Raw genomic sequence first — 15198 nt, 5'->3', positions numbered from 1 at the left:
TGTCTTTTTCCACATAATGACATTTTTGCATTTATTCCATATGATTGCATATAATTTACCTTTGGGGGTTGTATTAGTTTGGGCTTCCTTAACAAACTACTATAGACTGGGGGGCTGAAATAGCAGAAATTGATTTTCTCACAGTCTGGAGGTTGGAAGTCCAGGATCAAGGGATGGGAATAGTGGCTTCTTCCCAGGCCTCTCTCCTTGGCTTGTAGATGGCCATCTTCCCATCATCTTTCTTCTGTACACATCTGTGTCCAAATCTCCTCTTCCTATAAGAGGCAAGGGTACTATTTTGATTGACATTATATACATGAAATAAGTGTATACAGAGTGAGCGCGCCATGTAGCCAGTAACCGAATAAAGGCCCAAATCATACTGGATTAGGGTTTGCCCTAAAGACCTCATTTTAACTTTTTTTTGAGACAGGGTCTCGCTCTGTTGCCCAGGCTGGAGTGCAGTGGCATGATCTTGGCTCACTGCAACCTCCGCCTTCCCGGTTCAAGTGATTATCCTGCTTCAGTCTCCCGAGTAACTGGGATTACAGGCATGCACCACCACGCCCAACTAATTTTTGTATTTTTAGTAGAGATGAAGTTTCACATGTTGGCCAGTCTGGTCTCAAACTCTTGTCCTCAAGTGTCCCCTCGGCCTCCCGAAGTACTGGGATTACAGGCGTGAGCCACTGCGCCCAGCCCCTCATGTTAACTTAGTCACCTCTTTATGCTTTGTTTTTGTTTTTAGAGACAGTCTCGCTCTGTTGCCCAGGCTGGAGTGCAGTGGCACAATCACGGCTCACGATAGTCTTGACCTCCTGGGCTCAAGCTATCCCCCTGCATCAGCCTCCAGGGTAGCTAGGACCTCAGACAGGTACCACTGCACCTGGCTAATTTGTATGGGGGGAGGGTCTCACTACAGTGCCAGGCTGTTCTCCAACTCCTGGGCTCAAGCCATCCTTACACCTCAGCCTCCCAAAGTGCTAGGATTACAGGTGTAAGCCACCTCACCCAGTCTTTTTTTTTTTTTTTTTGAGACAGAGTCTTGCTCTGTCACCCAGGCTGGAGTGTAGTGGCGCAATCTCGGCTCACTGGAACCTCTGCCTCCCAGGTTCATGCGATTCTCCTGCCTCAGCCTCCTAAGGAGTTGGGATTACAGGCATGCACCACCATGCCCAGCTAATTTTTGTATTTTTAGTAGAGATGGGGTTTTGCCATGTGGGCCAGGCTTGTCTAGAACTCCTGACCTCTGGTGATCTGCCCGCCTCGACCTCCCAAAGGGCTGGGATTACCGGCGTAAGCCACCGCGCCCAGCTTACCCAGTCTTCAGTCACCCCTTTAAAGACCTTATCTCCAAATATGATCACATCCTGAGATACTGGGGGTTAGGACTTCAACATATGGATTTTTGGGGAGCGCACATCAGCCCATGGCAGAGAAGCAGGGGTACAGTTTTAGTTGAAATATTATATATATGAAATAAGTGTATACACAGTGAGCACACCATATAGCCAGAAACCAAATAAAGACACAGAACACAGCCAGCCCCCATGAACCCCTGTGAGCCCACTTTCTACAATTCCTCCCACAAGGAAGGAGTATCCTGATCTTGCAGATTTTAACCTGGTTTTGTCCTCTGCGTAAATGGAATCCTGTCCTCTTTTCTGTCTGGCTTCCTTCACTCAACATTATGTTTATGGGATTCGTCCACGATGTTGCCTGTAGTTATACATTTATTATTTATTTTCACTGCTGTGTAGTAGCACTCCACTGTGTGAATATACCACTTTTTAAATTTATTTATTTATTTATTTTTTGAGACAGGGTCTCGCTCTGTCGCCCAGGCTTGAGTGCCGTGGTGTGATCTTGGCTCACTGCAACCTCTGCTTCTCAGATTCAGACGATTCTCGTGCTCACTGTAGCCTTGACCTCCTGGGCTTGAGTGATCCTTTCCGGCAGCTGGGACTACAGGCCATGTGCCACCATACCTGGCTAATCTTTAAATTATTTTTTGTAGAGACTGGATCTCACTATGTTGCCCAGGCTGGTCTGGAACTCCTGGGCTCAAGCAATCTTCTTGCCTTGGCCTCTCAAAGTGTTGAGATTACAGGAGTGAGCCACTGTGCCCAGTGATGTATTTAGATCTTATTTAATTTCCCACAATAATGTCATTTTATTAATTTTAAAAATTGAAATATAACTCACATACAATAAAATTCACCTGTTTTAAACTGTACAATTTAGTGGGTTTTTGTTTGTTTGTATATTTATTTATTTATTGAGATGGAGTTTGGGTCTTGTTGCCCAGGCTGGAGTGCAATGGCATGATCTTGGCTCACTGCAACCTTCACCTCCTGGGGTTCAAGCAATTCTCCTGACTGAGCCTCCCAAGTAGCTGGGATTACAGGCATCTCTCACCATGCCCAGCTAATTTTGTATTTTTAGTAGAGACAGGGTTTCACCTTGTTGGTCAGGCTGATCTCGAACTCCTGACCTTGTGATCCACCCCCCTCGGCCTCCCAAAGTGCTGGAATTACAGGTGTGAGCCACTGCGCCTGGCCAGGTTTTTAGTATATTTAAAAAGTTGTGCAGTCATCACCACTACCTAATTTCCAGATATGTTTTCACTCCCGCCAAAACCTCATACACCACCTGTCACCCTCCATTCCTGTCATTCTCTGTTTCCCCTTCCCCTAGTCCCTAGCAACTACTAATTCCTTTCTGTCTCTATGGATTTGCCTGTTTTGGACTTTCCATATAAATGGGATCATACAATCTATGGCCTTTTGTGTCTGACATCTTTCACTTAGTGTAATGTTTTCAAGGTTCATCCATGTGGTAGCACATATTGGAACTTTATTTATTTTTATGGCTGGAATGATACATTTATTATCCACTCACCCATGCATGTGTATTTGGATCGTTGATACTTTTGTTCTATTATGAATAATGCTGCTATGAACATCATGTGTAATGAACATGATGTGTGGGCATGTATTTTCAATTCTCTTGGGTATTTTATACCTAGGAGTGAAGTGGCTGGGTCATATGGTAACTCTATATTTAACTTTTTGAGGAACTGCTAAACCGTTTCCCAAAGCAACCGTGCCATCGTACATTCGCACTAGCAATGTGTGAGGGAGCTAATTTCCCCACCTTCTGGCGAACACTTGTTTTGTTTGTCTTTTTGATTACAGCCATCTGAGTGTGTGCGAAGTGGTATCGGATTGTGGTTTGGATCTGCTTTTCCTAGTGACTCATACATAACGACGTTCTGTAGTTTTCAGTGTACAGATCTTGCACATCTTTTGTTTGGTTTATTCCTACCAAGTTGATGTTTTTGATGCTTCCATAAATGGCTTCATTTTAAAAATAGACTTTCTTTATTTTTTAGAGCAGTTTTAGGTTCATAGTAAAATTGAGCGTAAAGTACAGAGATTTCCCATATAACACCCACCCCCCTAACTCAGAATTCTCCATGAACATCACACACCAGAGTGGCACATTTGCTATAATCAGTGAAGGTACATGGATAGATACATCTTTAACCCAAGGCCTATAGTTGACATAAGCTTCATTGTAAATGCTTGGTGTCCATTCTATGGAATTGACAAATTATAATGACATGTATCCACCATTATAGTATCATAGTCAATAGTTTCACTGCCCTAAAAATCCTTTGTGCTCCACCTAATCATCCCCTCCTTCCCCGGGGCCCCTGGCAAACACTGATCCTTTTGCCATCTCCATAGTTTTGCCTTTTCCAGAATATCATATAGTTGAGATCACACAGTATGTAGCCTACTCACACTGGTTTCTTTCACTTAGCAACATGCAGTTAAGCTTCCTCCATGTCTTTTCATGGCCTGATAACACATTTCTTTCTTTCTTTTTTTTTTTTTTTGAGATGGAGTCTCACTCTGTCATCCAGGCTGGAATGGCATGGATGGCAGTGGCATGATCTCGGCTCACTACCATCTCCACCTCCTGGGTTCAAGGAATTCTTCTGTCTCAGCCTCCTGAGTAGCTGGGACTACAGGCGCATGCCACCATGCCCAGCTAATTTTTGTAGTTTTAGTAGAGATGGGATTTCATCAGATTGGTCAGGCTGGTCTTGAACTCCTACCTTAGGTGATCCACCTGCCTCAGCCTCCCAAAGTGCTGGGATTATAGGCGCGAGCCACTGTGCCCCGCCTTCTTTTCTTTTTTCTTTTTCTTTTTCTTTTTTTTTAAGAGATGGGGGTCTCCCTGTGTTGCCCAGGCTGGTCTTGAATTCCTGGGCTCAAGTGATCCTTTTGCCTCAGCCTCCTGAGTAGCTGGGACTATAGGCACGTTCCACTGTTCATTTTCTTATTGTTGAGTTTTAAGAGTTTCATATATTTTGGTCGACAGTCTTTTATCAGATATGTCTTTTGCAAATATTTTCTCCTGGTCTTACCTTTTTATTCTCTTGACAGTGTCTTTCTCAAAGCACAGGTTTTGAATTTTAATGAAGCCCAACTCATCAATTCTTTCTTTCTTTCTTTTTTTTTTTTTTTTCAGACTGAGTCTCACTCTGTTGCCCAGGCTGGAGTGCAGTGGTGGGATCTTGGCTCACTGCAAGCTCTGCCTCCCGGGTTCACGCCATTCTTCTGCCTCACCCTCCTGAGTAGCTGGGACTACAGGCACCCGCCACCATGCCTGGCTAATTTTTTGTATTTTTAGTAGAGACAGGGTTTCACCATGTTAGCCAGGATGGTTTCGATCTCCTGACCTCATGATCCGCCCACCTTGGCGCCTCCCAAGTGCTGGGATTACAGGCGTGAGCCACTGTACCTGGCCTCATCAATTATTTCTTTTATGGATTATCTAAAAAGTCATTGCCCTCTTTCTGAGCCCGTGACAAACCAGAAGGAAAAAAATGAAAAGAAAAATAAGGCTGGGTGTGGTGGCTCACGCGTGTAATCCCAGTACTTCCAGAGGCTGAGGCAGGAGGGTTGCTTGAGCCCAGAGGGTTGAGGCCGCAGTGAACCACGATTGTGCCACTGCACTCCAGCCTGGGTGACAGTGCAAGACCCTGTCTCCAAAAACAAAACCAAAAACAGCAACAACAACGGAAAAATAAAAATAAAAAAAAAGTCATTGCCAAACCCGAGGTAATCTAGATTTTCTTCCATATTATCTGCTATGAGTTTAATGGGTTCATTTAAAAAACTTTGTTTATAGACCGGGCGCTGTGGCTCACGCCTGTAATCCCAGTACTTTGGGAGGCCGAGGCGGGCGGATCATGAGGTCAGGAGATCGAAACCATCCTGTCTAACACGGTGAAACCCCGTCTCTACTAAAAATACAAAAAAATTAGCCAGGCGTGGTGGCAGGCGCCTGTAGTCCCAGCTACTCGGGAGGCTGAGGCAGGAGAATGGCGTGAACCTGGGAGGTGGAGCTTGCAGTGAGCTGAGATCGTGCCACTGCACTCCAGCCTGGGCGACAGAGCGAGACCCCGTCTCAAAAAACAAACAAACAAACAAACAAAAAACTTTGTTTATATTTGTGGCTAGTAGACAGAGATATAGTTGATCTTATCTATTGACCCCATATCTAGTGACTTTGTTAAATCCACATAAGTTTTTTGGAGATGTGTGTTTAAGTCTCCTTCCATGACTAGACTTGCCCATTTCTCCTGTTAGTTCCATTGGGCTTTACTTGTATTTTGAAGCTCTGCTATTGGATGTATACAGACTTGGGATTCTGATACCTTCCTAACTGAAATGAAGTTTCTGCTCATGCTTCCTACCTTAAATTCTACTCTTTAACTTTGGGACAGGTACAGCAGATTTTTTTGTGGTTATTGTTTGGGTGATAGATCTCTTTCCATCTTTAAATTCGCAACCTTTCTGTGTTCTTTTCTTTTTTTTCTTTTTTTGAGACGGAGTCTTGCTCTGTTTCCAAGGCTGGAGTACAGTGGCGTGATCTCATCTCATTGCAACCTCTGCCTCCCAAGTTCAAGCAATTCTCTGCCTCAGCCTCCCGAGCAGCTGGGATTACAGGTGACCACCACCACCACCACCAGCTAATTTTTGTATTTTTAGTAGAGATGGGGTTTCACCGTCTTGGCCAGGTTGGTTTTGAACTCCTGACCTCGTGATCCACCCACCCAGTGTGAGCCACTGCGCCGGGCCTTCTGTGCTGTTATATTTAAATCATATATCTTGTAAGTAGCATATAGTGGAGTTTGTTACTTTATTCATCCTGACAGTCTTATCTTTTATTTGGAATATTTGGAATAATTAAAAAAGAACTACATGTTTCAATTTAATCAGTTTGAATCGGTTCTTTCTAACAAAAGGTGAAAGCTCTTTTACATTTTTCCCTATTTCCCCTCCTACTATTATTGTTGATGTTATTTTTGCTTTCTCGGGGTTTATAACACTTAAATGCTGTTTTTTCATCATGCTATAGTCTGAATGTTTCTTCCTAAAATTCATATGTTGAAATCCTAACCTTCAAGGTGATGGATGGTATTAGGAGGTAGGGCATCCAGGCGCAGTGGCTCATGCCTGTAATCCCAGCACTTTGGGAGGCTGAGGCGGGAGAATCACTTGAGGTTAGGAGTACGAGACTAGCCTGGCGAACATGATGAAACCCTGTCTCTACTAAAAATACAAAAAATTAGCCGGGTGTGGTGGCAGGCGCCTGTAATCCCAGCTACTTGGGAGGCTGAGGTAGGAGAATTGCTTGAACCCAGGAGGCAGAGGTTGCAGTGAGCAGAGATCGCGCCATTGCACTCCAGCCTGGGCGAGAGAGCGAGACTCCGTCTCAAAAAAAAAAAAAAAAAAAATTAGGAGGTGGGGCTTTGGGGAGGTGGTTAGATCACGAAGGTGGAGCCCTCACGAGTGGGATTAGTGTCCTTATAAAAGAGACCTTTGAGAGACCCCTCACCCCTTCCATCACGAAGACACAATAAGAAGGCACCATCAATGAACCAGAAAGTGGGCCCTCACCGGACCCAAATCTCCTGACTCCTTGATCTTGGACTTCTCAGCCTCCAGAACTATCTATCAGACTGTATAAAACAGGCTATACCCAGTCCTCCCCTTTCCCCTGAACCTGGGCAGACTTGTATTTTGACTAATATAATATAACAGAAGTGACACTGGCTGACTTCCAAGGCCAGATCATAAAAGGCGATGGCTTCCTCTGGCTGTCTCTTGACATGTGTCTTTGAAACCACCATGTAGGAAGCTGGCTGCCCTGCTGCCACCATGTTGTAGAGGCCAGGTAGTGAGACCACAGAGGACTGATGTCATGTGAGCAGAGATGAGCTGTGTCTGCTGAGTCCTGCCAGTTGCAGATTCCTGAGTTAAGTATATGGTTGTTGCTAAGTCAATGCTGCCATGTTTTTGGGTGGATTCCTATCAGCAATAGATAACTGAAACACCTGCCAACTTTATTCCCCAGTGCCCTCTCTGCTCCACTCCTGCCAGCTGCTGCACCCAGCGACTCAGTTCCCTATTGTAGGAATTTGTTCCACTCTCCCAGGCCCAGCTTCTGCCACATCTCCTCCAGGAAGTCTTCCTGCTTGCAGTAGTGGGCAGTGTTGAAAAGCAAGCCAACTTTATGAACCAGAGTGTGTCTAGGTTCAAATTCCAGGACACATAGCTGGGTGCCCTGGAGCAAGTTACTTGCCTCTGAGCCTCAGTTTCCTCATCCATGAAATCTGGATAGAAATTGTGGCTGCTAGCCGGGCACGGTGGCTCATACCTGTAATCCCAGCACTTTCAGAGGCCGAGGCGGGTGGATTACCTGAGGTCAGGAGTTTGAGACCAGCTTGGCCAACATGGTGAAACCCCGTCTCTATTAAAAATACAAAAATTAGCCAGGAGTGGTGGTGTGCACCTGTAATCCCAGCTACTCAGGAGGCTGAGGCAGGAGAATCGCTTGAATCCAGGAGGTGCAGGTTGCAGTAAGCCGAGATCGCGCCACTGCACTCCAGCCTGGGTGACGAAAGTGAGGCTCAGTCTCAAAAAAAACAAACAAAAAAATATATATATATATAAATAGTGACTGCTTCACAGGTTCGTCGTGGGGAGGAAAGGTGCTCAGAACGCTGCTTAGCATATAACGAGCATTCCATAATGTTGGCAATTATTATTATTATTATTTTTTCTTTTTTTTTTTTTGAGACGGAGTCACACTCTGTCGCCCAGGCCGGACTGCGGACTGCAGTGGCGCAATCTCGGCTCACTGCAACCTCCGCTTCGGAGGGTCAGGCCATCCTTCCACCTCAGCACCCCCCGAGTAGCTGGGACTATGGGCATGTGCCACCACACCCAGCTAATTTTTGTACTTTTCTTGTAGATACAGGATTTCATCATGTTGCCCAGGCTGGTCTCAGACTCCTGGGCTTGAGTGATTTACCTGCCTTGGCCTCTCAAAGTGCTGGGATTACAGCCACGAGCCACCTCACCCAGCCATAATGTTAGCAATTATTATATTGCCCCGAGCGCTAGGGTCCTATCCTGCTCTCTGGGAGCCCGCTCATTGGGAACCTAATTCATACTATTAATTAATTCATTTTACACATATCTCTTGAGAGCACCTGTATGCCAGTCACTGATGAGCTAGGCTTAGTGTGTGGGATTTACTAGGAACCTACTACGTACTATTCATTCATTGATTGTACCTATATCTGTGGAGTACCAGCTGCGCGCCAGGCACTGAGCTAGGCTCTAGGGATGCGGCGATGGAGGTGCGAACACCACCTCTGCTCTCAGGGGTTTACATTCTATAGAGACGGAAGTGGACAAATACATAAAAGAGTTGACAGATTTTGATGAGAGTACCAAAGTGAAAAATAGGGGCTGGAGACAAAAAAGCTAATTGGAGGGCTGGGCATGGTGGCTCACGCCTGTAATCTCAGCACTTGGGGAGGTCCTGGTGGGTCAATCACCTGAGGTCAGGAGTTTGAGACCCGCATGGCCAGCATGGTGAAACCCCATCTCTACCAAAAATACAAAAAATTAGCCAGGCGTGGTGGCGGGTGCTTATAATCCCAGCTACTCTGGAGGCCGAGGCAGGAGAATCGCTTGGACCTGGGAGGTAGAGGTTGCAGTGAGCCGAGATCGCACCATTGCACTCCAGCCTGGGCAACAAGAGTGAAACTCCGTCTCAAAATAAAATTAAAATAAAATAAAATAAAATAAAACAAAATAAAATAAAATAAAACAAAATAAAACAAAATAAAATAAAATAAAATAAAATAAAATAAAAAATTGGAGGATCTCCTTCCTACTCGGTGGGCAGGGAGACCTCCCTGAGGAGAGGACCTGTGAGCAGAGAACCAAAGGGTGTTTTGGAGCGGGGCATGAGGAAAGGGGAGGGAAAAGCATTCCAGACAGAGGGGTGGAGCTAGTCCAGAGGTGTCTTTGGGGCCAGGTGTGCGGGACTTAGGCCAGGATGGGCACGGGAGTGGCGGGGGGGTGGGGGGAATGAGCAGAATTTGCTGCCACCCCGATTGCTGGTCATGGGTTGTCCCAGCAGATAGGATACTCATAGATGACAACAGCCAACACTGTGCTGAACACCTACTATGTGGAGGCCACTGTGCTAAGCTATTTATGTGTATTAACTCATTCTGTCCTCGGAACAACCCTATCCGGTAGGTGCTGTTAAATAAAATGCATGGGAGGCCATTGTTTCAGACTAGCCTCCTGTACTAGGCCCATCCTACCAGACCAAATCAGAAAGGAGTCACTTGTGCTAAGAGCTCCATGCTCAAACTGAACTTTGAAATGGGTCTGTTTCTCTAGAGAACAGGAGCTTCCAGTCAACCTGAGTCACTGGCCTAAGGAAGTCTTCTCTGCTGTAACCCTTTACAAGGAAAGTAACTGTGAAACAACCATTCCGTTTTTCGTTCTCTGTCTCTGCCCTCTTTAGCACCTCTCTGCCTATAAAAAAGCTAACATCCTCTGTTCAGCTTATTGGAATCTCCCTTCTATTTCACAGAGGGAGGTGTTGCCTGATTCTAGAATTGCAAATAAAAGGCAATTAGATTTTTTTTTTTTTTGAGATGGAGTCTCACTGTGTTGCCCAGGCTGGAGTGCGGTGGTGCTATCTCAGCTCACTGCAACATCCACCTCCCGGGTTGAAGCAATTCTCCTGCCTCAGCCTCCCTAGTAGCTGGGATTACAGGCATCTGCCACCACGCCCAGCTAATTTTTGTATTTTAGTAGAGACGAGGTTTCACCATGTTGGCCAGGCTGGCCTCGAACTCCTGACCTCAAGCAATCCACCTGCCTTGGCCTCCCAAAGTGCTGGGACTACAGGTGTGAGCCACTGCACCTGGCCCTAAAAGCCAATTAGATCTTTAAACTAAGCGTGTTGTCATTTGACATTACTCCTATCCTCCCCATAAGGAGACTGAGGCCCAGAGAGAGGGTGTGAATGCAGGTGCTCCGGCTCCAGAGCCGGTGCTCCTGACCCCAGGCCATGCTGCTGTCCCTTTCGTTCAGGCCGCCCCCACTGCACAGGGATGGAAAATGGGGCCCAGAAAGGAGGTGTCAACTCCCCAAAGTCCAGTAACAAAAGAGTGGCAGAGTAGGGATTTCAACTTGGGTTTCCACAGCCACAGAGGCTGCTCATTCTCCCAAGAGTGCGTTGAGGCTGACATAGGTGGCTGGGTGGGACCGGGGCGCTCTGCCCGTGGCCTTACCTGAGCCTGGGCCTCCTCACTTGGACCTGGGGTAGTCACAGGCCCCGCCCCCTGGGGTAGCGTGAGATGGAATGAGTTCGGCACCTGGCACAGTCCATAGTGTGAACCCCAGTGGGACAGTTATTCACCAGCCTTCCGGGCAGGGATGGCCCACTCACCAGCTGCTCCTCCCCTGTGCGAGGGGCGCCTGAGTCATGGGAACAAGGACGAACAGGACTGAAACTGTGCAAGTTAAAGCAAGCGAAGGACAAGGATCCCTGTGGGAGCCTGGCATGAGACTTCTGGGCTCTGGGCCTTTGCACTGACCGTTCCTCCTGCCTGGAGCACCTTTCCTCTTTTGCCTCTTCTTCTGCTTTAGTTTTTGATGCCCCTGGGCAGAGTCGAGGATTTCCTCCTCTCATCGCTGCCAGCAACTTAAAGTGGTTGGGTATGAACCTGCTTCCTCAAAGCAGTGCTTGGGTTGGTCCATTCATTTGGATCCTCAGGGCAACAAACAGGGCTGGGCACAGAGACTGGCAGGGGACTGTGCTGGCAGGTGGGGGAATGTCACAACCTGGGCTGCAGGGTGAGGGGCGGGGCAAGGCAGGCCCTCATCCCACACTTAACATCTGTGATAATTCCCTTTCAGGTCCACACGTGCCCACTGTGGGACCTCACCAAACTTGTTCCATCATCTGAAAAGTGGGGAGAATAGGAGGATTTACCTCCTGGGTTTATTAGGAAGATTTAAGGAGCTAACCCTGGAAAATGCTGGTACGTCATATGTTGGGTGCATAGTAAGGGCTCAAAACTGTTTGCTACTGAGCAAAGTGTTTGTCACTGAGTGCCAACTTTGTGCCAAGCACTTCACATAAAGTCATTCATTTAATCAGACACAACCATGATTGTCTCTACACATCGGTCCTGTCCAGGGTCATGACCTCACGACCTCACTGATCTGGGATTTGAATCCAGGTCAGGATGATTCCGTGGTTGGGACTCCATGGTTGAGTGGGTGGTTGGGTGGGCGGCAGAGGAAGGCACGCCAGCCCGCGGAGCCCCAGTGACTCAGAGCCGTGGCTCCCCTGGCCCGCCCTTTCCTCTGACTCAGCCCCAGTGATTCCACAGGCACACTGGAATTCAGGGCCCCAGGCAGAGTTCCTCCATGGAGATGCTGGTGGGTGGCTTGAGCTCCCATGGCCACCCTTGGCTGTGTCCTGTGGCCCCCTGGGAGCTCCTCTCAGGTGCAGGGGGCTTGCCAGGGTGAGCATCTCCCTCCAACCACCTTGTGGTGCAGAGGGGCAAACTGAGGCACAGAGAGGGGCAGGGACGGGGCTGAATGGCACAGTCTCAGCGATGGGAGCCAGGTCTGGGGAGCCCAGCTTCAGTTTTCTCTGTCTTTTCCCAGCCTGCCCCAGCCCCATCTCTCACCTCCTGGCACAGCTTCCTGCCCCATCCCTGGATATCCCCAGCCTAACCCAGCTTCTTGCCCAGCCCAAGGCCAGGCAGTAGGCAGACATCTCCATAATTGGTCTGAATTAGGGTGAGGGTGGGTCAGCATTTCTACTCCTTGCTGTCAAGGCTGCTGGGGGTGGCCATGGGAGAAAGGGAAGGTGGGGACAGGGCCACCCTTCCTCTGGCCCCTGCAGGAGTCCCCGGTTCTCAGGGAGATGCAGTCACCTGATACTGGAGGGCCAGCACCATCCCTTTGGCTGTTCCTATCTCGCTTCCTTGTGCTCTGCTCTCCCTGCCTTGGGGAACCCAGGGCTCGCTTGGGCCACTGCAACCTCAGTTTCCCCAGTACATACAAAATAATAAAAAAATTTTTTTTTTGAGACAGAGTCTCGCTCTGTCGCCCAGGCTGGAATGCAGTGGCACCATCTTGGCTCACTGCAACCTTTGGCTCCCGGGTTCAAGCGATTCTCCTGCCTCAGCCTCCCAAGTAACTGGGATTACAGGTGCCCGCCACCACATCTGGCTGATTTTTGTATTTTTAGTGGAGATGGGGTTTCACCATGTTGGCCAGGCTGGTCTCGAATTCCTGACCTCAAGTGATCTGCCCATCTTGGCTTCCCAAAGTGCTGGGATTACAGGTGTGAGCCACCGTGCCCAGCTATAAAATAAAGGTCTTAAGGATCCTTTCAGCCTAGACTCTTGTGATTGGGCACAATAGCCTCCCCAACCCCTTCTCTCCCCAGTCCCATAGAATAGGACCTAGGGAGCCGGACACGGTGGCTTACGCTTGTAATCCCAGCACTTTGGGAGGCCGAGGCAGGCAGATCACAAGGTCAGGAGTTCGAGACCAGACTGGCCAATATGGTGGAACCCCATCTCTACTAAAAATACAAAAATTAGGTGGGTGTGGTGGCAGGCGCCTGTAATTCCAGCTACTAGGGTGGCTGAGGCAGGAGAATTGCTTGAACTCAGGGATCGGAGGTTGCAGTGAGCCAAGATCATGCCGCAGCATTCCCGCCTGGGCGACAGGGCAAGACTCCATCTAAAAAAAAAAAAAAAAGAATAGGACCTAGGGAAAGCTGCTATGTAAAGGTGCCCCGGGGGACACTGGGCAATGGGGAGGGGAAGTGACATCTCTGGACGAATTCAATTGAGGATGGGCATTTAGCATCTGTCTTGTGCTCAGGCTGTGCTAGAGTCCCTCAGATGAGGGGTAGAGAAACGTTTAGGAACTTGACCAAGATCACAGGCACACATTGTCCTGGAATTTGAACCCTGGGCGTTCTGGCTGTGGTGTAGTGCAGCTCATCACAGGAATTCTCCCCACTCTTGGGCCCACTCACTCGTCTCCTGCTGAACACCTGACTGCCAGGTCCTGTGCTGGGATCCATGCGGCCCAGGCCCTGATCCTAGTGAAGAGATGGCCAGAGGAGGCGAGATGGGGCTGGGGGTTGGGGTCAGGGAGCACAGATTCACCAGGCACCCAGACTTATGGACTAGATAACTCCAGACCCACATTCCTGGATGCAATCAGAGGCTGACAAAGAGGAACGGAAGGGTTGCTTGGGCCAGGGGCATCCTTGAAGGAATGAACAAAAAGGTGGATCCCTGCTTCTGTGGCCTTTGTGGCTGATTTGTGGAAGACAATGATAGCGGCGTATTACTACCAAGAAAAGTAAAGGCCAAAGTCCTCATAATGATCTTCAAGGCCTTTGCTCTGTCTGCCCCCCTTCCAATCCTCCTTCAACCTCCTCTCCTCCCCTGCTCCACTCCTCATCCTCACCACTCTTGGAACATTCCAGCTCACTCCTGCTAGCCAAGGACGGCTCTGTTCTTGGGATGGAAGTAGGCAACAAACAGGTTGCTGACATTTTCCTGGTGCAGCAAAGCAAGCACCAGGAAAATGTCAGATAGAGAGGAAATAGCTCTCGGGGCTCAGAAAGTGATACCTGCCAAATAAGGCGCTTTGATAGGCTGAATAAAGACGCAACCTCAAGGTCTCTCTGCCAACCTTTCCCCCATCCTCTCTGTCAATCCTCTGTCTCTCCCAAAGCACAGGAGGAGGCTGTTCTCCGAAGTTCCCTTATCTGCTAGAAACTGGACCCCAAAGAGGAACACGATTGCTTTCGATCCCTTCCCTGAAATTTCATTAACTGGAGATTAAAATTCATATCACAGAGGAAGAGAAAATTAAACACCACATCTAGAGTCCAGACAAACTTTGTCCCAAATGAGTGTTTCTTCTTCGGTCCCACTCAATTTCCAAAGAAAATCATCTGTAAGATAATGTCTGCCTCCCAGGCCCATTAATGCCTCCTAACAGTCATTCACTCCTACAGCCCCGTCTCCCCTTCCCCAGCGAAGAAGCGGATATAAACATCTGGACCTCAATGGATAACTGGGTAATCATTCTCCTATGATTCCCCTGTGCTAGGCATGTTAAATACATTTTTTATGCTTTTTTTCTTCTATTTATCTGCCTATTGTCAGTGCATTTCCGGCAAACCTCTAGAGGGAGAAGGAGAAGCTGTCCTTTGGCCCCTACGTAGCACAGAATTGCTTGGATGGGGTGTATGGAACTCCCTGCTGGAGGGTGCTCCTGAATCAAGGGAGGGGGAATTTGATCTGAGACCTGAAAAGCTAGAAGGAACCCTCCGTACCAGGAGTGGAGGGATGAGCAGTCCCAGCAGAGGCAACAGGGTGGACAAGGGCCTTGATGTGGAAGAAGCTGACAGGTTCCAAGAACAGAATGAGACTAGTGAGCGAGTGGGGCAGTGGGAAGTGGGAGGCGGGGGAGCCAGCAGGGTCTGGGGGCAGTTTGCATTTTATTCCAGTTTGGTGGAAACCATTAAGAGGTTTTAAGCCAGAGAAAAACCTGTTATGTTTTTAAAACCATCATTCTTTCCAGCTTAGGCAACGTGGCAAGACCCCTCTCTACCAAGGGTAAAAAAAGTAGCCGGGCATGGTGGTGCATATGTGCAGTCCCAGCTATGTGGGAGGCTGAGGCAGAAGGATTGCTTGAGCCCAGGAGTTCAAGGCTGCAGTGAGCTATGATTGGGCCGCTGCACCCTAGG

This window comes from Homo sapiens, chromosome 22 (genome assembly GCF_000001405.40).
Source record: "Homo sapiens chromosome 22, GRCh38.p14 Primary Assembly".
In the NCBI taxonomy this organism is placed as follows: Eukaryota; Metazoa; Chordata; class Mammalia; order Primates; family Hominidae; genus Homo; species Homo sapiens.
This window is presented reverse-complemented; position numbering follows the sequence as displayed.